The following is a 24555-nucleotide window of genomic DNA, read 5'->3' as shown; positions in this document are numbered from 1 at the left end:
AATCAATACATTATGCTATTATTTTAACCCGCGGGTTTTGTGCTAGGTCAGGATCTTTCTATTAAGTTCACATCTCAGCACAGAACAACTTGCTGTATGTGTGGTCACATCCGAGCCCTGTAAGGTGGCAGTGCCAGGAACTATGAAGTGCCCTATGGGCCTTTCCTAGAGTCTTAGTTACTCTGCCTTATCTTACAACTTAGCTTTTGTCATTTGCTATTATAATTTTGATCTGCTGGCACTGCAAACTCACAGAGGAAAAGGCTATGTTCCAGCACACAAAGAGAACAAACCATTTGGGGAAGAAAATGGCCTTTTCTCCCAATTATTTGGTCCAAGAGGGGAAAACTGAAAGCAGGCAGAGGCTCGTATTTAATAGTGTTCTTAAAACCCATGTTCCAAGGCCTGATATGGTAAAGGGCCAGGCATGGTTGTTCCCAACCCTCAATGTACACCAGAATCTACAGAGAGAGCATTTAAAAGACACAGATGCTTGCGCCCCTCCCAGATATTCCTCCCAGTTGGTCTGGACCAGAGCAAGACTTCATTACTTTTAGCTCCCCAGGGCTGAGAACCACTGCCTGCTCAAGCCATTCTCCACCTAGTGTGTTCTTGCATGTCAGATTGTTGAAAATTCAGAGTGCCCAGCAGGTCACCAGCTGATTCTAATGCAGTGGTTCTTCAGTCACATGCTGGCAAACTCTACCCCACTGGATCGGAAAGCCCAAAGATGATGAGCAAATGACAAAAAAGACAGTAGCACCTGTGAGAAGTCGACTTTGAGATAAACAAGCAAGCCCTGCAGGTGGGCAGTAAGGATTCTCACCAACTTAACCAAGCCGTGTGCCCGTGAGTGCCCGTGAGTGCTTAGGAGGTGGCATTATCATTAACCCCATGGACAGCGCCAGGCCCTCAACGGGGCTAGTAAATACGTGCTGAACCGATGAGGAAATAACAGCATAGAAAGTTTGTATTACTTGCCTCAAGTCACAGAGCAAGCTAGCAATAGGGGGAAAAAAAATGAGGATTCAGGCAGTTCAAGTGTGGAGTTAATACCCTTCCCCACAAAGTTATTTCCTGTATCTGTGAATGTATGCCCAGGACATGGTACTGAAGGTGAAACAAGACAAGGTTGTGGCTGTCTCCTGTAAACCTAACCTTATTAAGGATGCAAAACCAGGGAATGCCTTGAGTGCAAGAGGTTAAAAGGTAATAAGAACAAGAGAGAGAGGAAGAGTAATTTCACCCAAACTTAAGAGGGAGTATTGGTAGAGGGTGTGGAAAAGACAGCAGAGATCTTCAAAACCCCCCGCCCTTGCAGCCCCTCAGGAAGGGGTGGCTGAGGCCACCTAGGGAGCCTGGATCCTGGGCACAGGAGCTCTGGGCCTTGCAGGGACTTCTGATGTTCTAAGGGTAATGCTGAAGACAGAGTTTGGAAATGTGAAAGAAATGAAGGAGGAAAGACATGCATCTCCCCAGGGATTCATAAACACCAATGATTTTGGAGCCCAGTGCAAAACAGAAGTGTGGGGCCCCTTGCTAAAAAACGATTAGGAATTCCAAGCAAGTGACAGCAAAGCATGCAACCAACCGCAGGGCCCTCCTGAGTACCAGGCCCTGTGTGACTGCCCAGACCTCAGCCTGAGAAGCCTCCCTGCCAGGGGACCCCCAGGGGAGTTTGAGGATTAAATGGGATCCTGTGTGTAGAGTGTGTACCACAAAGGCCACCACAGAGTGGGCATTCAGCACTGACCCTGAGCTGGGAGAGTCGCAGGGCTGGGGCTGCAGGTCATCCTAAGCGTGGACTGCCTATGACCTGCTGCTCCTGTTCACAAAGGCTCCCTGCCTGAGAATCTCCAGCAGAATTCATAGGAAAGATTTCTTTTTACAAAATCTCTGCTCATTTCAAAACCCACTCCGCAGGATCCAAAATTCTACAGCCACGGGAACTGTGAAAGATACACAAAGCCTAGTGAGATATCAGAAGATGAGAACACATAGCCAAGCCCATGGCCTCCCACCCAGGGAGGAAACCCACCCAGGCTAGCTTTTACATAAGGCTGGCTAAGGAGAGTTATTTACAGAGGAATTACTACAAGCCAGGCCAGCAGCCCTCTGACACCATGTCACACACGGAACTTGCGCACACAGTGACACCACATCTCCTGGCTGCAAATCTGTCTCCAGCTCCTGAGGCTCGGGCCTCTGCAGTGTTCTTCTACCTTCTCAGCAGAACAGTGAGGCTGAAGGGCAAGCCCAGAGAAAAATGGTGGGCACACAGGGAGAGCGGTGACAGAGGCAAGGAGTCAAGAGGTAAGTAATGGAGCCGCCCGCGGGACTGGAGAATAGGATGTGCTTATTTTGCTTCTATCGTAAACAAGGGTGTTCTCAGGTTTGAGAGTTGGTCTTTTGGACGTTCTCTGCAAGGGATCTTAACAACAACACTATCAACATTTGGGGCTGGGTAATTCTTTGTTGTGGTGGCTCTCCTGTCCACTGTAATACTTTTAGCAGCTTCCCTGGCCTCTATCCATAGATGCCAGTCGCAACTCTGCAGTTGCGACAATCAAAAATGTCTCCAGACACTGCCAAATGTCCAAAAAATCACTCCTGGTTGAGAGCTGCTAGACTATCTGACCATCGCAGTACTCAGAGGAGTAAAAACAGTAATAAGCATGAACACTCTGGAACAACCACCTGGGCTCCTACCTCTGATCCTATCCTACCCCAGTCTGCTCTCTGCTCTGGGGCAGGAGAACTAAGTGGAGATCCGATTATGCCACATGCCTGCCTAAACCTCTAAGACCTCCTGTAGTTGGCCCTTGGAGTGCAAGCTTGCATGTCACAGGTTGACACAAAGAAACCAAGTTATCTGTTCCTCCTTCTGCATCCTCATCACTTGCGCTCCTCCACAAGGCTCCACCCTCCAGTCCTATGACACTTTTCATTCACCTGACAGCTACTTCCAGGACTCCAGCACACACTAGGCACGTCCTAAGTGGGTGGGAGGCATCAGTGAACAAAGATCCCTACCTTTGTGGAAACAGACAATAGCCAAGAACATAACACAGAAATTATACTGTATGTTACAAGGTGAAAGGTAAACCCGGGAGAAGGGGATTTGGAATACTTGGAGTGGTAGAGGCAGAATGAGTTGCAATTCTAGAAGAGATCATCAGCATAGGCTTTATTTGAGCAAAGGTTTGAAGGAGAGGAGGGAAGTAGTCATGCAGATTCTAGGCAAGAGTGTCACAGGCAGAGGGAGAAGCAGCGAGGGGAAGGAGCAGCCAGGGCGAAGCAGCGCAATGCGGAGGGTGGTGGCTGCCATAAGGACTTTGACTGTGGGTAAGATGAATCATTGCAGGGTTTTGAGGAAAGCAATTATGTGATCTGGCTCACATAAAGTTCAAATAATCCCTCTAGCTGCTGTGCAGAGGATGGTGGTCGAAGCAGGAATGCAACTTACAAAGCAACTGCAATATTCTATGTAAAAGATGGTGGTGGCCTGACCAGAGAAGGTTCAGTGGAGATAGTGACAAGTCTAAGCAGGGCATCTCATGTCCTGGAACTTTGGCCTCTAATTCTTGCTCAGTGATTCACCTAATGCAGGTTCTTTCTGGATGCGGAGTTTATAGTCCATTAGACACAGCAACAACTCAATAAATATGTGTTGGTAGTTAAAACCCACAGAACTCCCCCGACCTCCACTCACACCTAAAATATAATCTTGACTGAAGTATACTTTTCAGGACTTCCTATTCAGTTCCTAGGCACGTATCTGGCACTTGGATGTTTAATAAATGTTTACTGAGTGGACAAATAAGTAAATAATACATCTTATACTGTGTGAATAATTACTGTATTCCTTTAGACAGAATCATTTATAACCATTAACCCAAAGTGTTTTATTATCCTAGAAGTAATTCATTTTGGTTGATGGACTTTAAGAATTTTGGCTTTTCTTGCCACCACTATAAGTTACTCAAGCTTCATTATTTTACCCAGATCATAAATGTGTTTTAAAAGTGATCAGACTCAGCATGCACTGTTGTGAAGTTTGGTGTGAGGTATGAGTGAGTGACTTCAGTTTACAATTAGCTTGATGCTAATGACCCTGGGCCTCATTGTACCATCCATGAAGTGAGGGAGTTCTCCCCATGCCCCGCCACCGCCGCCTTACATCCAGGGTGTCTCCCAGCCTGAAAATTCCAGAATTTTATATTCACTAAGATGTATATTGGAGGACAACCACCCCATACAGCTGAAATCCTTTGGTGCCAGATGCATTTTGGAATTCAGAAAAATGTGGATTTTGGACTTGTAATATATCCAGCAGAAACTGAGGCAGCATCTTGAAATTAAATATTTCTATAACAAAATATATAAAGACACCCAGTAGCCTCATATCAGGTCAAGTTTTGCTGCCGAATTAGTTATTTAGAAAATCTTCTGGTATTCTGAACCTTTTGGCTTTGAGAATTGCAGATGAAGGATCCTGGGTGAATTAGGTTGTTGGTTTATATCATCTTGTGTTGTTGTTGCTACAGAAACTTGTTTGAACACCCAGTCAGCAAAAATGCAATAACTCACAAAAGATGCACAAGTCACCGGTGCAAATAAAACTCTACAATTCCCTTTCACTGAGGGATGGCCCTCCTCATCATGTGAGTGACATTTTCTTTGACTAACCCTTGGGGAGAAGGGAGGGAGCCCTGAGAATCAGATCTGACACTAACCAATTCTTGATGTGAATGTGACCCATCTCCAATCATTCACGCTTAACCTAAAGTGGGGTTAATTGTTTTTACTGTAAGTCAAGTGTCCTAATTAGCTCAAGCTACTACAAAGATGTAAAAGAATTAATAATGTCACTTTATTACAAAGCCATATCATTTTTTTCTGAGCTTAGTATCCATCTTAGTTCATTTTAAAACTTCTTTCTTGATGGCTAACAGTTAATAGTTATTAGAAGATGCAAATGTATGCCAATCTTGCAAAGATTTCCATTAAACAACTTGGAAATTGTCAGATTCATTTTGTAAATCTTATAGATGTCTACAGGAGGAGCAACAGAAGTCTTTACAGGTGGCACACTAAGTGTGATCTTTATAAATACCCTCAGATTCCTAAACACTAGTAAGCAGCAATTTCTTAATTTTTGCTAATACTTTTAAATTTATAGAACATAGAAAAGTACCCATACCATGTCATGGGAACTGGGCCGTGGCCATGATTAATTCTCTTGCTAAATTTGTTTAGAAAACTATTTGGCTGTTTGAGTAAGATGAGAAATCGCTACATTTCCATTGAAATGAATTCGAGTGTCGCTGTTTCACAAATAGCAAAAATACAGAAGAAAGCTCATTTATATCAAGATAGTTCTTATAAAAATAAAACTGTCATGTCCAAACTGAGAACAAGGAAGCTTCATGTCCAAACTGAGGGCAAGGAAGTCTAACACTGCTCTGCCTGAATCTGTTCCTTTCGAATATACTTGGTTTGTTTGAGGCAAAGAGAGGTGGAGCAGAAGGCCAAGCCTTCTTTGAGGGAAGGGATGAGGGGTTGGCGGGGGGGTGGGGAGGACAGGACACCTGACCATCTTCTGTCCACTCTGCTTTCTTTTGCTCTTTTCCCACCCTCTTTCCTTCCCTTTTATTTGCTCAGCTCTTTGCTAATGTTGAAACAACCAAGGGTATGGTATTGCCTGGCTGAAGGGGGAGCTACGCCAGAAAGCTATTTACATCTTGATTACTTTTATCTCCTCAAATCCTATGTATTTTAATTCCTACACTTGTGTTGGGTCTTCTACCTCACTTTGGATTTGGGGCACACCTCCACTTGCCTTGGAGAGGCTGCCCCATCACAGGATGGCCCAGGCAGCCAGCCTCCAAGACCACAGGAGGGCCGGTTCTGAGAGTCTCTCCCTGTTCGGAGCTATGGAAGGTGGCTCTGGAACTCAACATCCTCCTTCCTTGCTTCAGTGCAATAATGGCACCAAGGCCTGGCTGAGCGCAACAGAGCACCTTAGAGAGGGATTCAGAGCAAGTTTCCCCACATGACCCTGTCCATGCAGGCTCAAGAACTCCCTAAGTTGGAAGCAATGGGTGGGCCAGACTTTAGTTGTTACCAGTAATTCAAACCAGGAGCCTTTCTTCTTTTGATGCTACATGTACATTGTTTTTTCACTGAGGACTGGAATGAAGGCATCTCTTTTGATGCTTGATGATACACAGTGGCCTTTTGTGACAATGTTGCCCAAGCCAGGGGGAGAGGATAATTTTAGGTGGGTGCTCCAAGGGCAAAAATTAAACCCCAGCATATTAAACTCATGTCACAAATATTAGTTTAAAGCAAAGTTTTAAAAAGATATATTAATCAGTTTAAAGTAAAATACTAAGCAATTAAGAGTACTGGTCGTCAGCAGCAATTCTAAAATTAACATCATCCACAGCATCCACACTGTGGGGCTGCATGCTAAGCAGTGCCATCTCCACTCTCCCAGGAGCTCCATCCCAGCCCCTGTGCCCTCTCCGACTCCCTGGGACTCAAACTGGAACATGATCTATACCATCCTTTAAAAGCACAATCTGTTTCTCCCTACAAAATGCAGGCTACCGCCTTATCAGTAAGCCATCTAAGATGCACACCAATCCCTGGTCAACGCCAAGCCCAGGCACCACAGGGCAGGCACATCCTATGAGGTGCAGGCTTGTTTCGGGTTCCCAGTGTCCACCGTGTACCAGCCAGATGTGCTTTGATCTTGGTAAGGATGGGGCGGGAATCTGAGACTGATGTATAACGGAGGGCGTCGCTGACTGTCCTAACTCTGTAGATGGGAGTTGGCTGTGGGGCTGATGTGATCAGTACCACACCTGGTTACACAGATCCTCATTCAGAACTGGTCCCTGAACTCTCCCAGGAGAGCCAGGCTCAAGGACTCAGTATTGGGCAGAAAAGTATAGCAGCGTAAACCAATGGCTTCTTAGCTGATCCCCATGCTTTAAAATTTATGCCTTAATTATGTGATACAATTTTTGGATTAGTTAAATGGAGTAACTGCCAAAAAGAGTCATGAATCCTGGTTGGTACTCCCCAACGTTTAGGCAGTTTATGGTCACTAATCCCATCTGGCAAGTTGACTCTGCTCTCTAAGTACATGTTTTGGTTTCTGGTTTACCTTGAAAGATATACCAAGAAGTTTCATGGTTCAGGACCAAACATTTTTGGCTACTGTACTTAAAAAAAATTGCTCTTACGGGTACTTGCAAGCTTATATCTGTTTGGCATGTTTTTTCCGGATCAAGTTTCCCTGGCCCACACTCTATGGCAGAGAACTTAAGGCCTTCGATCTCCTTGTCCCTACATTGAGGTAGACACCAAATTCCACAACTTCCTATGCCAAACTCTGTGCCTAGTATTCAGAAACGTATGCACACCAGCATCCTGAGCCTCCGTGAGAAGACAAGAGTCCAATCCTGGATTAGTTGACTTAGATGCACATTTTTGTATTTCACAGATACATAAAGCAGCTGGCATCCAGGTATAAACAGGAAGTACAATATCCAGCTCATTTCCCTGTTGCTCAACTGTTGGCAAAGTTTTGCTGCAAACAACACTATTTAAGGATGGCCTGAAGGATATGCCGTCTAGGCTGTTTTCTCCCAGTCCTTTGAAATCTACCTAAGGCCGGCAGAGAGCACCGCGCACTGCCACATGATCTGGCCTATGGAACAACCTCTGTGGCAGCATCGCCATCAGGTCACACAGCGGGGGCTTCATGAGGAACAGCCCAGGAGAAACAACTCGTTTCAGGCCTGTTGAGGACTTTGAGCCCTATGTCACAGGGTCTTCTCTAAAAGATGCTCAGGAAATTTCTCCCTCATCTCGGCACTGAAAAAGATTCCCCTTCACAACAACGATGGGTAAGTTTTCATCCTGTGGACCCCCATGGCTCACAGTACCATGTACCCCTCCCTTGGCGCAGGGTCTGTGGCCCACCTGTGGGGAGTGAACAGAACCTCCCAACCTGTGCTTAGCGTATTAACAGTGCTATGACTTCCTCTTGTCTTACCTATTTACATTTTCCACTTTAATCTTTCTCGGCTGTAAATTCTTTGTCTGCCAAAAGGTAACAGGCCTACCATGAGAATTTTAAAAGATGTATTGTATTCTGATATATACACTCTATATATGGTGAGAATAGCTAACAGTTTGAGTGCTAAGTGCGCTTTGCAAGTATATTTAGTCCTCATCCTGAGCATTTTCTAAGTATATTTAATCCTCATACAACTATGGGAGGCTGGTGCTAGTATTATCTCCATTTTATAGATGAGGAAACAGATGCCCCGAAATTTGAGACTGCCGTTCAATTTCTTAACTCTCTCATAGGTAAAAAGAGTTTGAACCCACCCCACATGACTGAGCCCATGCTCTTAATCCCTACTACTATAATTATCTACTACTTTAAAGCTATTTAAAACAAAATTTGTCTCATTTCTCCTCTCATTTGTTTGTTTTCAGAGGCTGGGTACATTCACTTTAATGGTAACCAACTTGTCTAGAACGTCTCAGTTTTGTCACTGACAATCCCATCTCCTAAGAAACCTCAGCAACTTCATCAGAATGCTTATTTTGGCTGCAGCATTGCTGGTTCATGCAGATGCATTTGTGCGAATTAGGAAAAAGGACATCCATTTACTTTTAACATACTTTTGCTTGTATTCAATATATTTATATAAACTGCCTTTTTAAAATGGGGTACAGAGAAACAAATATGAATACAGAACTTCACATTATATTTCACATCCAGAGTTACAGGTAAGCTTAACACATATATTACCTTTGTATCCTTGTTCTGTCTCCCTGAGATCAATTTTGGTTATTGGTTTGAAATCAGTGTCCCACAGTCGTATACACCCATCTCGCCCACCAGTGGCAAAGCCTTCTTCACAAGCATACATGCTAAAGATTCCAGCCTGTTGATTAAAACAGGTAATACTCAATGGTGCAACCATCCTAAGTATAATGAATAGATACAGTTGAATGTTGATTTAAAAACATAGCAAGTCAAAAACAAAAATAAAACCCCTTTGTTCTCTATTGAAATGCTGACAATAGACCAAGTAGCCATTTATAACACTGTTCATCTCAGCTACATTTAAAAAATCATAATAATAAAAGCAAACTAGTTCAAGTGCTCTTTTACCACTACTAAAAAGATTACAGTTTAAAAAAATTCAAAAATATAATTAATGCAGATATGGGAATCAAATTATTTTATGTGATAAGTGGCCCTTAGAGAGAAAAGACAACTATGGAGGTGTTTCATGGAAGTTGCTGCCTAAAATAATTAAGTAGAGATAAGAGGCTAGGAACATGAACAGTTTCATAGGCACAAAAGTGCCCAAAATGTACCTCAGTGAGCTCACAAAGGTATCACTTGAACCTAAATGAAAATGTAAATAGCACTTGTGTTCGCTTGTTAAGCATCGTTTGAAGATTTTCACATGGGAAATAGTTTTAGGAATTTCAAGATGCTCCTCCACAGGAAAATACTTTATTTGGTTTGTTCAAAAGTGCTGCAAGAATATAATGTTGACATAAGATCCAGTATAAAAAGAAATTAGGTTACTAAGACAGCTGCTTTTGTGAATGAGGACAAATACTGACCTATTATTTTAAGAGCTGTTTCATAATTAGTGAAGCCAAGAAAATTCACCTGCAACATATAGTGAAAGATCTGAAATGTCATAGCTCTAAGAGTTGCTTAAACTTTTCTTCATATTAAGGGTATAGGGAATCAATTTGGAGGCAATAAGCTAAAGGCTTACCATTTCCAATAACATCTTTACCCAATTTCCATTCACTATGATAGGCTTTGCCTTTTACATCATCTTCCCATTTATAGGGACAATTTTATCATTTGTAGATACAACAATGTAGTCATTTTCATGTGTGTCAAAAAAGAGAGCAGAGTGGTAAGAAGTTTCTCCTTGTTCTTACTGAGCAGACCATCAGAAGATATGTAGTTATCAATGGTTTCTGATTGTACCTTAAGAGCTCATGACACTGGTGTGGAGGTGACACCCTGGCACCTCAACATAAAGAATGAGGAAAATCTATCTTACCAACCAATACAAGAGCAATCGTTATCTACACCTTTCCTGTTCAAACTATGGGTCACTGATGAGCTGTGGCGACTTCATCGCAGACCTATGGAGCCAGAATCTGCATTTTAACATGATTCCCCAGAAACTCATGGGCACATTAAAGTTTGAGAAGTGCCTATAAGATGAATCTGATGAGCTAGTTCTAGTGTTCTGTCAAACTACTGTGGATGACATAAATCAAGCAATTAATAGTTAAGGTGAGGGCTAATTACATTGTATGCTTTTGAAATATATTTTCCTTTAGGTGAGCAAATGTAATATGGGAAATTATCATGAGTAGGGAGTGTTCAGCAGGGTTCTCTGATTCTAAAGCAAGAAGGGAAACATACAGGGAGGGATTCGTGGTCTTACCTTATTTGGTAGGTCACCCACAGATTTCCACAAGGTAATACTTACACTATGTGCTCCTTGAATGGTGCGGACTAAATTGAGCCCTTTCCAGACATAGATGTCACCATTTAAAGCACCAGAGTAGGTGATGTCTTCTTTGGCACATGCAAGGCAAAGGATGGTCTGAAGATCCCCTGTTTTGCCAAATATCCCTCTTTTTGCAGTCAGGGCATTTCCACACAGTGTCCAAAACTACAATGTAAGTGATAAAATAGATCTCCAAGATAGAGTATTCGGATGTATTGCATTGGTGTTTATTTATACTTCAGTGCATTTCACATAATGTGCTCTATCCAAGCTAGGCACAAATAAGTTAATTTGCTTTGCTGTAACATAACAACATGTAACACAAAAGCATTTTAGCTAACTACCAGGAACATAAGAAAAGCCTATAACAACACTTTTAAAACTTTCAAAGTTCCAAAATTTCAAAGCTTTGCTCATTGTTTAATGGTGATTTAATAGAAGATAATGTTCTCAGAGTTGGAATCAAGTGGACAAATCATGTTTTGCTTAGTTTTTTATCAAGTTATAAAAGTAGTATAGGTTTATTGTAGAAAGGTTTAGAAACACAGATAAGTATAAAAAGGAAAATTGTGATAGTCTGTAACTTCTGGAATGCAATGGCGCCATCTCAGCTCACTGCAACCTCTACCTCCCAGGGTCAAGTGATTCTTGTGTATCAGCCTCCTGAGTAGCTGAGATTATAGGAGTGCACCACCAAGCTCAGCTAATTTTTGTATTTGTAGTAGAGACAGGGTTTCTCCATGTTGGCCAGGCTGGTCTCGAACTCCTGGCCTCAAGTAATCTGCCCTCCTCGGCCTCCCAAAGTGCTAGAATTACAGGTGTGAGCCACTGCACTCGGCTATATCTAGGTATTTTTAGTGTACATATATTTGGAAATAATTTCTAACTTTAAGTGTTATAAATCTTCATTGTAGAAATGTTACTTAGAAACGTTTCATAAATATGAGTTATATTTCCATATACCCAAATAATTGACTCGGCTTTTCAGTTTTAGTTGCATAAAATGTGTCCATTGTGTAGAAGACCATACACAAAGCTTCAGCAATTTTATACAAGGCAGTAAGGACACTCCTATGGTTAAACAGACACAAAATATTTTGTATTGACATAGTTTTTTTGGGGGGGCAGGTGGGGACAGAGTCTCACTCTGCTGCCCAGGGTGGAGTGCAGTGGCCCGATCTTGGCTCACTGCAACCTCTGCCTCCTGGGTTCAAGCGATTCTCCTGCCTCAGCCTCCTGAGTAGCTGGGACTACAGGCATGTGCCTCCGCACCCAGCTAGTTTTGTGTATTTTTAGTAGAGATGGGGTTTCACCATGTTGGCCAGGCTGGTCTTAAACTCCTGACCTCAGGTGATCTGCCCCACTTGGCCTCTCAAAACCTTAACATAGTTTTCATGTATCAACTAGAATAACCTCACTGCCCTTGATATAGCCCCCCCTCAGGTTATAAGGGCTATTTGCATATGCTAAGTTATTTGATCCTATCAAAACCTTTAATAGGCTAAGGTAGACAGGATGGTCATCTCCATCTGGAGGGGAGGGAAAGCAAACAGAAGTAGCTCACTGAAGATAAGGGTTCAATGGGGTTAGAAAAAATACTGAAATCTTTGTCTTTGCTTTGACAACTCTGAATCAATGCAGAGGCAAATGAAACAATGAGATAATTTTAAGGTAGCATATTCAGACTGTGCCCGGGTGGCAGGAAATTCAAAGGTAGAGAACTAAGTTGAATTAAACAGAATGAACAAGAGTAGGACTTGGATCAGCAGTGAGGAAGAAACTGCATCTGGATTCAGAGAAGCAGGATGAGATGAAGCCACATGGCAGGCATGTGGGAGTAAATCAGTAACATTGTACTATTTTACACCTGTAGGAGAGGAAAAACCATGGTCCTCTCAGAGTAGTTGGGTACTAGAGGAAACAGTTCTGGGATGGCTATACCCCCAAGGTGGCCAGGATTCAGGCAGCTGGGGGTGGGGGGCTGTCCTATGTGTGTGCGTGGCAGGGGGTTAAGGAATAGAGGGATGCCTTGGCAAGAATGAAGGGCAGATACACAATGAAGGACCAAATCGGATTCTCTTCTCAGAAAAAGGTATCAGCTCTGGTAACTCATTTCTTTGGGTATTATTAATGAAAAGGTGTTGAAGTATATGTTGAAATAATAAAGCAGCCAGGTGCAGTGGCTCATGCCTGTAATACCAGCACTTTGGGAAGCCAAGGCAGAGAGATCACTTGAGCCCAGGAGTTAGAGACCATCCTGGGCAACATGGCAAAACCCCATCTCTACAAAAATAATTAGCCTGGAGTGGTAGCACACACCTGTAATAAAGTTTTTTTTAATAAAGAATAAAGAGATCTAGGAAAAAGCTAGTTAGGTATAAGCTTTGGAAAACATTTAAGCTGTTACTATGAACCTGAACAAACTATTAGACATAAATGATTACTGGTTGCACCAACATGCCAAAGAACTTGCTGTTCATAGCAATGCTTAAGGCAGACAGTTCCCTTTCTCTTTACACCTCCTCATGCATGAAGATTAAAATAATTATTTTGTCCTTTAACTTTGGATATACACCCCCCGTCTGAGTTATCTGAATATTTCCAGACAGACAGTCACAAAAAATAGAACCCATTATCTTCAGACTTGATCTACATAAAAGTTTATTGACAAGTCACCAGGTCAGATGGTATAAGGCCCACATGAAAACATTCCAAAGAGTCAAATGATTCCCTAAAATGTATGTTATTTTCTGCAGAAAATGGCAAATACCTGAAATATTATCTCTTTTTGAGAAGCATTTCCTACTTGGAAAACAGTGGCAGTTTAGGGTAGCAACACATCATTAAATTCACATCAAATGAGGAGACCTTGTTTATCTTCTGCAGTCTCTACCCACAGACTGTAATGCAAATTTTGTTAGAGCTGGCAGGTACCTTGAGTTCATCTAGCCCTAGGTAGTCCCTGAAGTCCCTTCTGTCTCTGACTAGAGACGGCTCAACAGTATCCACAAACCCGGTAGGCTCATTTGCTATAAAACCAGTGAAGCAGCCGATGCTCAACTGTTACTGTTTTTCAAGCATTCGTTTCAGATAATTGCAATTTTCCTATTTGCCAAAACATAGGGGATTTACAAAGCCAAAAAGGATTTCACCCTAGCTATACAAATTTCAGATGAAAGTATTTTCTTTGAGTACAAAGATTTTGCACTCAATTTATGACTGGAATCATTCAATGTTAAGGTAGGTTTTCTGGGGAAAAAAAAGTGGAGAAATCCTGGTAATTGGATATAGAGAATACAGACAGCAAAAATAATTTTTTGAAGTCCGCTTAAATGTATTATATTTCTAAGCAAAATTAATAAAGTATTGCTGGGTAGACATTCCAGATTCTTTGAGGTAAAAATGCTTGTATTTGCTTAGAAAAAATGTCCAAGTCTGCTAAGACAATTAAATTTAAACAGGATAAGTAGCTCTTGTTTCAAATAAAGTTTCAGAATTTTGTCTCTGCTTTTCTGCTTTTAGAATTTACCGATTTAAAAGTTAGAGTTAACCAAGGACAGAAAGAGATAGGAAGGAATCAGGAGAATTCTATCAATTAAGCAGCAAATCTAGTTAGAACCCAATAAAAAGTTAAGGCAAGGTAGTTCACTAAAGAAATTTCTCAGTGTAAAGAGCTCTATAGGAGTCAGAGGCTGAGCTTAAATCTCACCTGTGCCATCATTTTTGTGACCCTAGGAAATGGGGAACGAAATTAACATTATTGTGCCCCTACTGGGTTCCATACTCTTTAATGTAATTATCTTTAATTTAGGAGGTAGTGATCTCTCTCTGAGAGAGAGAGAGAGAGACAGAAAGAGAGAGAGAGAGAGAGAGAGAGAGAATGAATGAATGAATATTAATTCAGCCTCAGGGAGATTAAATGGTTGCCCAGAGTCAAGCAGAGGGAAACAATCACAAATCAAAGTCAGATTCCCACCTAACCCCCTAGGGTCCTGGGTTTCTTCACCACTGAGTACAGGATGGATGATGGCTCCCAGGATAGGGTCCCAGATTTCCAGAAACCCACCACAGCCTAACAGAAATCAGGATCATTATGAACTCACATGTTTTTTTTACTCATGGCTGAAACAATTTTCATATTTTAGTCTGATCAGAAACTCACGTTGGCAGATAACATCTTTGACTAATAAAACATTGCTAAGGAACCCGTGATTTATTGGCTAGTTTATTTTGTGGCCGCCATCTTTCAAAATATTTGTTCCCTAAAAAAAACTATGGAATAGGTTCTTTGGTGATGAAAACATTGGTAATCTTGGAACATATCATGAGCCAAGGACCCACCCAGCTCCCCAGTCTCACACTTCCATGGGTGACCAATGCCTCTCTTAACTCCTGACAGAAGTGCAACCCCTCGCCTAGTTCTGCCTCCCGACCCTTCCTACCAAACTCACCCACCCACTGAGGCTCAGCCTAAGCAGCATCTCCATCCTGACAACATGCTTCTAGCCAGCTGGGATGTCATCTTTATCGATAGAGGGCTTTGATTTTTACCTTTCTTCCAAAACATTCTGTCTTAATGTTTTAATGGCTAAACTTCAAGCAAATTGAAAGTGGCGTCTGTTTTTCTTCTTTCACCTAGTACAAACTCAAATATTAAACTGAATGAGTTTTTGGTCTTTCAGGTATGCTGTACCAAGCACAGAAGGAGCCTCCAGCTGCTGCTAATAAAGCAAACTACCTAGATTTCAGCTGATGTTTTCCTAGATTAAAAATATACACATCAGGGCTTGGTACAGGATTATTAAATGTTTATGAAGCCCTAAAGTGTTGATGGAATATGTTACACTTTTGAGTAGTGGAACCTCTAAAATTTTTGTTCTCCATTTTTAAATTTTTTCTTATTTTGGAATATATATTGTTGTAAAATAATTTTACAATGAAGTATACAAGGGATAAAATTATCCATCAACCCATTACCCAGAGATAACTGCTTAACATTTGGAGAAGTCCTTCTAATGTATTTCCCACATAAAAATGTTTTTAAAGAAAAAAAAGCCACAAATCTAATCCCACCATAACCCAACCCCCAAAGTAAACTGTAAACTTCCCCATATAATAGATTTTGAATATTTCCCAATATCATCATTTAAAACATAACTTATGATTGTACAGTGTTTCATCATATGGATGTAACATTTTATTCAACTTCCTAGAGACACTTAAGTGGTTTCAGATCTTCTGTTTGGTTTATTTCAGATCTTCTATTTGGTTATTTGCTATTGATAAGTTACTCAGCAATGAGTCAGCTCTTGGTTCATACTTCTAACAATTTGCTTGGGATAGATTCTAAGATATGAAATTACTGGATCAAAGAGAATTGACATTTCTAAGGATAAATATTTCCAAATTTCTTGGCTGAAAGACCATTATCAGCTTACCCCTCTCTACCAGCAAGGTTTGAGAGTGGTCATTCACTGAATCCTTGCCAAGATACGGTACTTTCAATCATAAATTTGATAGATTTAAAATGCTGTTATTTTAAAATTTGTGTTCCTTAATTAGATTTTAACATTTTCATAAGTCTATTGGCCAACAGTGTTTCTATTTGTCAGTTTTCTATGTTCTTTGTCCATTCTACGGATTTGCAAGAGATCTTTGCATTTTGAGAACAACCCAGTATCTATTTTGTGTGTTGCTTATACTTTTGCTAGTTTGCGGTTTCCCTCTTTTTGTGGAAAAAAGGAATTATACAGAATATTTTAATATTTCTACAGTTGCATCAGTATTATTCCTTACGATTTCTTTGCTTTTACATTTTAAAAAAATCTTTCTCCAATTTGAGCAGTTAAATATTTGCCTATATATTCCTCTAGTTATTTTATAGTTTTTGAAACTTACCTCTTTAATTCATATAGACTTTGTTTTAGTGTATAGTATGAAGTATTGACTTTTTCTAAAAAATTGATAAATTTGTGCCTGCCAGTTAGAGATGCTATTATACTCTAAGTTGTCATACATATTAAGGTCTATTTTTCAGCTTTTTTTATTTCTTTGTATCCAAGTCTTGTATCATTTAAATTAAATTCTATTATGCTTTAGTAAATAGTGGTACATATATCCTCTTCATGATTCTTTATCCCAAAGTTCATAGTTATTGTCATTATTTAATGCTTCCGGATTAATTTAGGATAATTTAAAGGGAAATTCTGTCAGGTAAAAACAAAAGTAATAGGGATTTTAACTGCATTTCTACCAAATATAAATTTGGAGATAAATGATACATTTGTAAATTTTAGACGTGTCCAGAATCAACATTGTCACTCCATTTGTTCAAGTATTGTTTTACATTCTTCTGCAGAGTTTTGTAACATTCTTTAGGTAAGTCTTCCATATTTCTTATACTTATTTGAGTATTTTATCCTCTGTCCCCTTCTAACCAAGTAAGACTAATGGGAAGGATCGTGAAAAACTAGACTAAAAGAACTGCAAAATAGGAGGGGTTGGTTAGAGGAAAATCTTCATTCATACAGAAATGTACCATTTTTGTACAGAATCCATGCATGCTCTATTCAAGAAAGTAATCCTTATACTCTTGTTTATGGACTTTAACTTACATTATTTACGATCCTATAGAGAAAGAAGATCCTGGGCTATATCCCAGGGGTCAGGAGAAATTTTTGCTATGTCAGAGCAAAGCATGTTGATGCAGTTAATTTTGTTACTTGTGAACAAAATAGTAAGAAGCAAATGTAGGTCTACCCAGATGAGAGTGTAGTCTAGAGGAAGATTGGGGCGTTTAAAAACCAATGGTCCAGATAGGTTTGTACTGTGAATTCCTCTATTTCCATGTAGAGCACAACTTGACACCTTTCTTTTAAGGGAACATAACATGTCAAAGTGTTGACATGCAAATATGTAAATATTCATTATAATGGAAAAACTTACTTCACAACATTAAAATAAGCACTGTTTTAAAACATGCAATCCCACAAGTATTATGAGTCTTCAGTTCGATATTTAATTAACATAAAATTTCCTTTTCAGCTGCCTGCGGAGCACTTCACTTGATTGTCATTACTTTGCATTTCTAAGAGAGAGCCCCATCAGCTGATGTTAGTTTGCTTCAGGAGCAGAGAAACAGGTAAGAGGGCTCTATATTGAAGAAAAAAAATGTAAAGTCTAGCAGTCTCTCAACATCAAATTATCTATACAAACACCTAAAATTATTTGCACTCAAGGTACCAAAATTAAAAAACAAAAAGCTTTACCTTTATGTGTTTTACTCCACAGCTAACCACTCTGTTTGGCTGATATGGATCCCAGGAAATATCAAAAATCTGTTCAAAACATTAAAAGTTGCCATGTTGATCATTTGGTATATTTTTGCCTTTTCCCAATACTAGTCCAATTGCCAAGACTCTACTATAACATTTAGAACACAATGTTACCTGCACAGAATAAAAATGGAAGATTTGGCTTGGAATGAGTCAGGAACTAACACACACGTTATCACCTCATATCTACTTACCTTAAGGCCTGAGTAGAGAGAGAACTTACCATAATTATTTAGAACAAACTGGTGTCATATTTTTAATTTTGTCCATTTGAGATAAACAAATGGACAATTTAGGATAAATTTTTGATCAAATTTTTCAATAGCACTCCACAGTGCTAACACTTTGGAGATAGCTTTTCAATAGAAATTTAAAGAATTATAAAATGCTTCTTAGCTAGGAAAACATTCAATAGTTAACTACAATTTAATGCGGCCAACAGTCTCTAGTAATCACAGAAGTTAATATTCCTAAACGTAAGGCAGAGGGATTTATCTGTCACTAACTTAAATAGTCCCTCAGGCTATCATTTTAATCTGACCCAACATACTATTGTATTTTCAATTATCCAATGAACTGAAAATATATCTGCAACTACTATTTGTCTTTTTTTTTTTTTTTTTCTGAGACAGTCTCGCTCCGTCACCAGGCTGGAGTGCAGTGGCGTGATCTCGGCTCACTGCAACTCCGCTTCCCAGGTTCAAGCAATTCTCCTGCCTCAGCCTCCCGAGTAGCTGGGACTACAGGCGCGTGCCACCACGCCCAGTTAATTTTTCTATTTTTAGTAGAGACGGGGTTTCACCATGTTGGTCAGGCTGGTCTCAATCTTGTGACCTCGTGATCCACCTGCCTTGGCCTCTCAAAGTGCTGGGATTACAGGCATGAGCCACCGTGCCCGGCCTATTTGTCATTCTTTAACAAGAGCTACCAGACAGTTTGCACGTAGTTCTATTTCCAATCCAGAGACAAGAAGGAAAAGGTCAATCCTGAGAATCAAATTGCCCATAGCAATTGCTTAAAACAGGTATTTCCAGGGCCCATCTGAGATGCTCTCATTTAGTGGGTCTGGAATTGGGCCCAGATACCCAACACTTTAAAGAGACTCCAGGAGATTCTGATGGAGGTAGATCCATGGAACGCATTCCATGACACACTGATAGAAAGGGAAGGACTACTTGTCAGGGACAAAGTCTAGACCAGAGAAATAACCTAGACCACTAACTTTTCATCACATATAAAGGAGCAATTATGGTCCCCAGAAAGATCACTGAAGAAAAAGTACTTGGTCCAAGTATCCATTTCAGCCATTCAAGCTCAGGCAAGTCTGAGCATCTCTAACCTTAACCTCATCTTCTCTACGTGGATAATACCACCTCAAGTTTTGTTAAGGTCAATGAAGATAAGGTATATAAAGTCATTTTGCAGGGTATAAAACATTCATTATATAAATGTAATGGATTAAGTATTTTAGTGCCACTAAAATAATCTTGAGGATAATCTTGAAGTTAATCATAAGCAGTCAATAATTCATACTGGTATCAGTAATAAAGAGCAAAATTATGTGTGACACAGATTATGGGGTCTGGGAGAACAGTGTTCCAAATAAAGCATTTCATTAAAACATCCTAAGATTACAGACTCATCACTATAGTCCTATTATACTTTTTACATTTCACCCTTACTGGCAAGCGGTAGCACAGCAATAGCACATGCACAGTCACTGAAACATACAGGCAAGTCACATGATATCCAGAGGTGTTCAATTTATCTAAAGTTTTAACAGAGTTGAATTGAGCAAACAACTGTTTGCAAATTGGGCAGCCCTCAGAACCAGAAGAGGTTCAGAGAGCTCTGCTCTGCAACTGGGCAGGCATATGTATCCTGGGGAAAATGAACTGAGGTACAGGAACAGCTTTCCTAGTTTCAGCACCGAATTTGCTTTATTTGGGCATGGTCTGAATAGATGGCAGCCTGCCATTGGCTGAAGCTGGCTGCCACTCAGCTATTTGTTACGGAAGTATACCCCTAAATTTTCAGTTTGGTCACTTAGCAAGCTAGGTTGCAGTTGATTTTGTAGAGACTTACCATATGGAGGGCAGCTGAGGCCAAATTTAGTTTAACAGTAATAATTTAACAATAAAAGCTCTTTCTATACAAGCCAAAGTGATTACATTAGGCTATTTTTCTAAGTAAGGAGATTTTACTGGTTTAAACTGTTTGTAACTTTAGTTTTCTACTTTTTCCAAGGTGATAAGGCCCAAAATTCTGACAGACAGTATACTAGTTCAGGTCAGACTATATAAAATGACTCAGAAATAGAAGCAGTAAATGCAGAGTAACTCAGATAAAATATTATGTATGAGTGTATATATATGCCGTGAAGTCTCCCCAGAGGATTCTATCTGTAGCCAGGATTGGGAACTACTGGACGAGAGGGGTACCAGGCCTCTTCCAGTACTGAGGTTCTATTGTTGGTCACTCCTGAGCTTTCTGAAGACTTGATCCTGGAGTAGAATTTGCAACATCTGTGGGGTCTCCTTACAACTACAAACCTCCATAGATCAATGTGCCATTCATACTTTTTTTTTTTTAAGAGTTCCTTCTAAGCAAGAGACAGTGAATTTCATGTTTAATTAGAGCCTCATTCTACATGAAGCTTGTCCAACCCACAGCCCAGGATGGCTGTGAATGCGGCCCAACACAAATTTGTAAACGTTCTTAAGATATTATGAGATTATTTTATTTTTAGCTCATCAGCTATCATTAGTGTTGGTGTTTATGTGTGGCCCAAGACAATTCTTCCAATGTGGCCCAGGGAAGCCAAAAGACTGGAAATGCCTATTCTACATTAACACTTATATTGTGCAGAAATACAAAACAACTAGGAATTCAAGTAAGACAGTCATGCAAATTCATTGTTTAGAGAAACCAAGATAATAAAGGAGTCAAATTATTTTAATTATGCAAGACACTGGCAAATTAGATTTCTGACCAGTTATATGTATATACCCCCTTCATCCCCTAAGACTACATGGAATTATCATTTTTGATCACACTGACTTCAACAGGAGTAAGCAGGTCACATTCTATGTTCTCAAATACAACAAAGAATCACGAAGTTGTCATTACACTCATTCAAAATTAAAATGCATACCCTTGTAATCATATTTTGTGACTATTTTCTAACAACTATTTCCATTTCTAAATGAATACATCTAAACTACACATAATTTCAAATTCAATTCCATTTTGATTTCATAAAGTAAAATGCCAGCATCAAAAATTTGCTTTGCCTATGAAAAGCACTAACAATTCATATAAAGTACTTGATCACCAGAAGCACATTAACACAGTTAGCTATTAATCATGAAAAAAGAGGATGATTATAAGTTTAATAGGAAAAAATGTATACTGAAATATTTACTGTTAAAAACATTAGAAGTCTGAGACGCGATATCACAAGTCCCCCCAAGTTCTGAAATCTGCATAGCTTGATCCAACAAGTTCTTACCCTGTCAGAATGGCCGGTGGCTGACGCCAGAAGTTTTCCCTTCCTCCAGTCCCAAATGCAGACTGTGTTTTTGGCATCCAACCCCACAGAGGCTAAACGCTAAGAATAAGAACAATAATTTAGTACCTAAAAGTGATGGGAAGACTTACTGACACGTTAAGAAATAGTTACTATTTACTATGGGTTAGGCATTGAATTTCTTATAACAAACCGATTTCTCAAAACCCATCTTAAACCCCAAACTAAAAATAACACAATAGATGATGACTTCCATTAGTATATGCTGAAATTTCAAGAACCTAAGAGCTACAGCTCCTTTATCCTTTTTAAGTGTAAGAAACATACATATAAACTCTCAGGAGATCTCTGAAACGTCAATAGAAACTACAGAAACAGAACTTGATAGCAGCATTTGGAATTTTTAACTTAAAATTTTTAGGTAAAATCTTAATGTGAGATTTAATAGAACCCAGAATTCTATAGTCTAAAAGCTTCCAACTGCTAAAATTTAAGGGTTTGACGAATAGAATAAATGAACATTAATTTTTAGTTTTCTATAATTTCACAAACATTTAAGGTGACTACAAGATAATATAATCTAAGTAGAAGTAATCTGGTACTTCACCTCCCAGCCTAAATTCCCTGGGTTCAGGTCAGAACCTGTCCTTAAAGTAAGAATAAAATGCAACCCACATGATTATATACAAAACCAAAAGTGTGAAAAACAGGCAACAGTCATACCAAAATCAGAGTTTCTTGCAGGATATCACTTATAAGGAGAAAGTATTATGTAAGAAATCTGAACTATAAGTAGATTTGGCTTTTCTTTTTGCTTTTAAGTAGCCAGACATAACACCTTGCAAAATTAACCTCCTTAAATCTCACTTTTCTCATTTGTACAATGGGTATAAAAAATAATCATTCCTTCTGCATTATTGGATTGTTGTATGGGTCAAGTGAAGTATGTAAATTAAAGGGGTTTTAAAAATATGGTATTCCCCAAGTGTAAGAGTGTGTGAGTACTGAGTACATTCGAGAGTGTGTCTGTGTATATGCACACTCACAGTGTGGATGAAACAGACAGCCACATATGGTTAAATGTATACATGTGCTGTTATGCAGGGATTCTTCAGCTTTCTTCACTAAAGATGGCTTCCATTAGGAATTTTTAATATAACACACATCGTTGAGGGTTTTTTAATGTGTCCTTAAGAAATTTCTTTGCTATAATTTTTTAACTGAGGGTTTCAGCAATGGAAACAAGATGTGGTTGTATTTTTATTCATAAGAAAATCTGAATGGGTGAATTCCATTCAGCTTATTCAAGAGAAAAAAAGCAGTGAACACAAATAGGGGCACTGAAGTAAAACCCACATTTCCTGATGGAGAAAAAGCTGAAAGAAACCTATTTTGTTCATCTGTAGTGACAGTTCCCATAGCTACCTGAAAAGCATTTTTATTGCCTTTTGTCTATTGTGAGGTGATGGACCATTTGTCATTTCTAAATATCATTCGATTCCAGTGAACTCTGTCCAGGGAGTAAGGAGGACCTGAAGAAATAGCCATCAACAAGCCAGGAAATCCACCATGGCTAACATACAAGAGGTTATTTCTCTCACCTGACAGTTAAGTACCATGCAATCCACCCCCACCCACCATCCTTCAAAATGAAACCTAAAGGAGAATAGCTAGGATTCTAACATAAATTAACATGGACAAAAATGAAGTTAAAGCTGGATTTTTAAAGCTGGATTTTCCTCTGCTGCATTACATTTTCTTGTGACACTTCAGAACAAATTGATAAAGAATGCTTGCTTGAATAACAAAATCCGATTAGAGAAGGTGCATACCAGTACAGACATAAGCATACATTTATACTTGTACATGTGTATGGATTCTGATTCACTTCAGTTTATTCAGGAAGTCAATATAACTGCAAGCCTGAACAAATACTAGCATCCAGCTATTATCTCTTTATGTAGCCATAAAAGGGAATGCATGCATTAAACTGACTAACTGGATGAGATTACAAAGGAGTAAAATAAAGAACATATATTCCAGGGGTCTACATATGTAATAAATCTAGTTCTAGAAAGAAAAATGACTAGTGATCGATGCTCTCTTAAAATAGCAGAAAACAGCAAGTAAATGCTAATTGTTTTTCAAAAGTGACTCAACCCAGGTCAACTCCTATAATCCACTGAATTTCCCACAGACTTTCAGTTAAGCCTCTATGAATAATTTCACAGATCTTTGCATGGCACCAACTTACAGAATTAACTCTGAAACTTGTCAAAAATTAGATTGAAGGAATTAACAGGCAGAAACACGCAGGGTGAGAGAGACAGAGGAAGGGTGGCACAGGAAACGGAGGCGGTTGGGGAGATGAGGAGAAGAGGCCCCGCCTTAGGGAGGAGATGAATGCAGCCGGAGCCAGGAATGACCCCTCCGTTTTTACTTTCTTTTCTAGAACGTATCAACCTATCTTTTCTGCCCAGTGTTGCTGTAAGTCAAAGGAAGAAGAGAAAATGTTGTTGGGAGGGATTGGCAAGGCTTTGTGAAAACCTTTGGAGACTGAATCACTTCAATGGGCAAAAGGGTGAGCAGGACACTTCAGGTGGACAGGACAGACTGAGGCAGGGCCCAGAGGTACAAACATGCAAGGTCTGCTATAGGAGTCTTGCAGATTTGTCCAATTCGACTATGAGGGCACAACGGATAAAAGTCTAGAAAAGTTGGCTAAAATAGAATGCCCACCTACAAAGTGTGGACTTTATTCATTGAGTACTCCAAGCTCTTATTGGTTTTAAACAATGCTTTCACACCGTTTTCAGTTGATGAAATGCATTAGCAAGAAATTGCCTGTGAGGAGACTAAGAGATTCAACTAAGTCAGACATGACACTGACTTATTAGCACTTAAAGGACAGTGGCAGGAAGAATGGAAAGGAGAGGATGTCAGTTACTGTAAAGAAACATGAATACCCAGGAATTGATGATAGACTGAATTGGGAGAGGACAGGTAGAAGCAGCTAAAAGTGACATCAAGGGGTAAAGAGTCAAGGATAATCTTCTCAGTGGATTATTAGGAGGTGATGTCATCTTTTGAAAGCAAGAGGTACTAC

The 24555-nt window shown here is 39.8% G+C and overlaps 1 protein-coding gene across 10 annotated transcripts in view; it reads right to left on the bottom strand.

The window, feature by feature from the left end:
* The window catches only part of EML6 (EMAP like 6), a 248474-nt gene that overhangs the window by 133709 nt on the left and 90210 nt on the right, over positions 1-24555 (bottom strand). For 9 of the 10 annotated variants that reach the window (XR_001738743.2, XM_017004098.3, XM_047444299.1 and 6 more), the window contains exons 4-7: positions 21432-21530; positions 17855-17923; positions 10566-10751; positions 8840-8975 (exon numbers count right to left, since the gene is read on the bottom strand). Coding sequence is in view for 8 of the 10 variants with exons in the window: in XM_017004098.3 (XP_016859587.1) it covers positions 8840-8975; positions 10566-10751; positions 17855-17923; positions 21432-21530 (490 nt within the window). In the remaining 2 variants the exon portion in view is untranslated. Of the gene's footprint in view, positions 1-8839; positions 8976-10565; positions 10752-17854; positions 17924-21431; positions 21531-24555 lie in introns of those variants that run through there. The other variant, XM_017004101.2, reaches the window with a different exon arrangement.

Source organism: Homo sapiens, chromosome 2 (genome assembly GCF_000001405.40).
Source record: "Homo sapiens chromosome 2, GRCh38.p14 Primary Assembly".
NCBI classification, from domain to species: Eukaryota; Metazoa; Chordata; class Mammalia; order Primates; family Hominidae; genus Homo; species Homo sapiens.
This window is presented reverse-complemented; position numbering and strand designations above follow the sequence as displayed.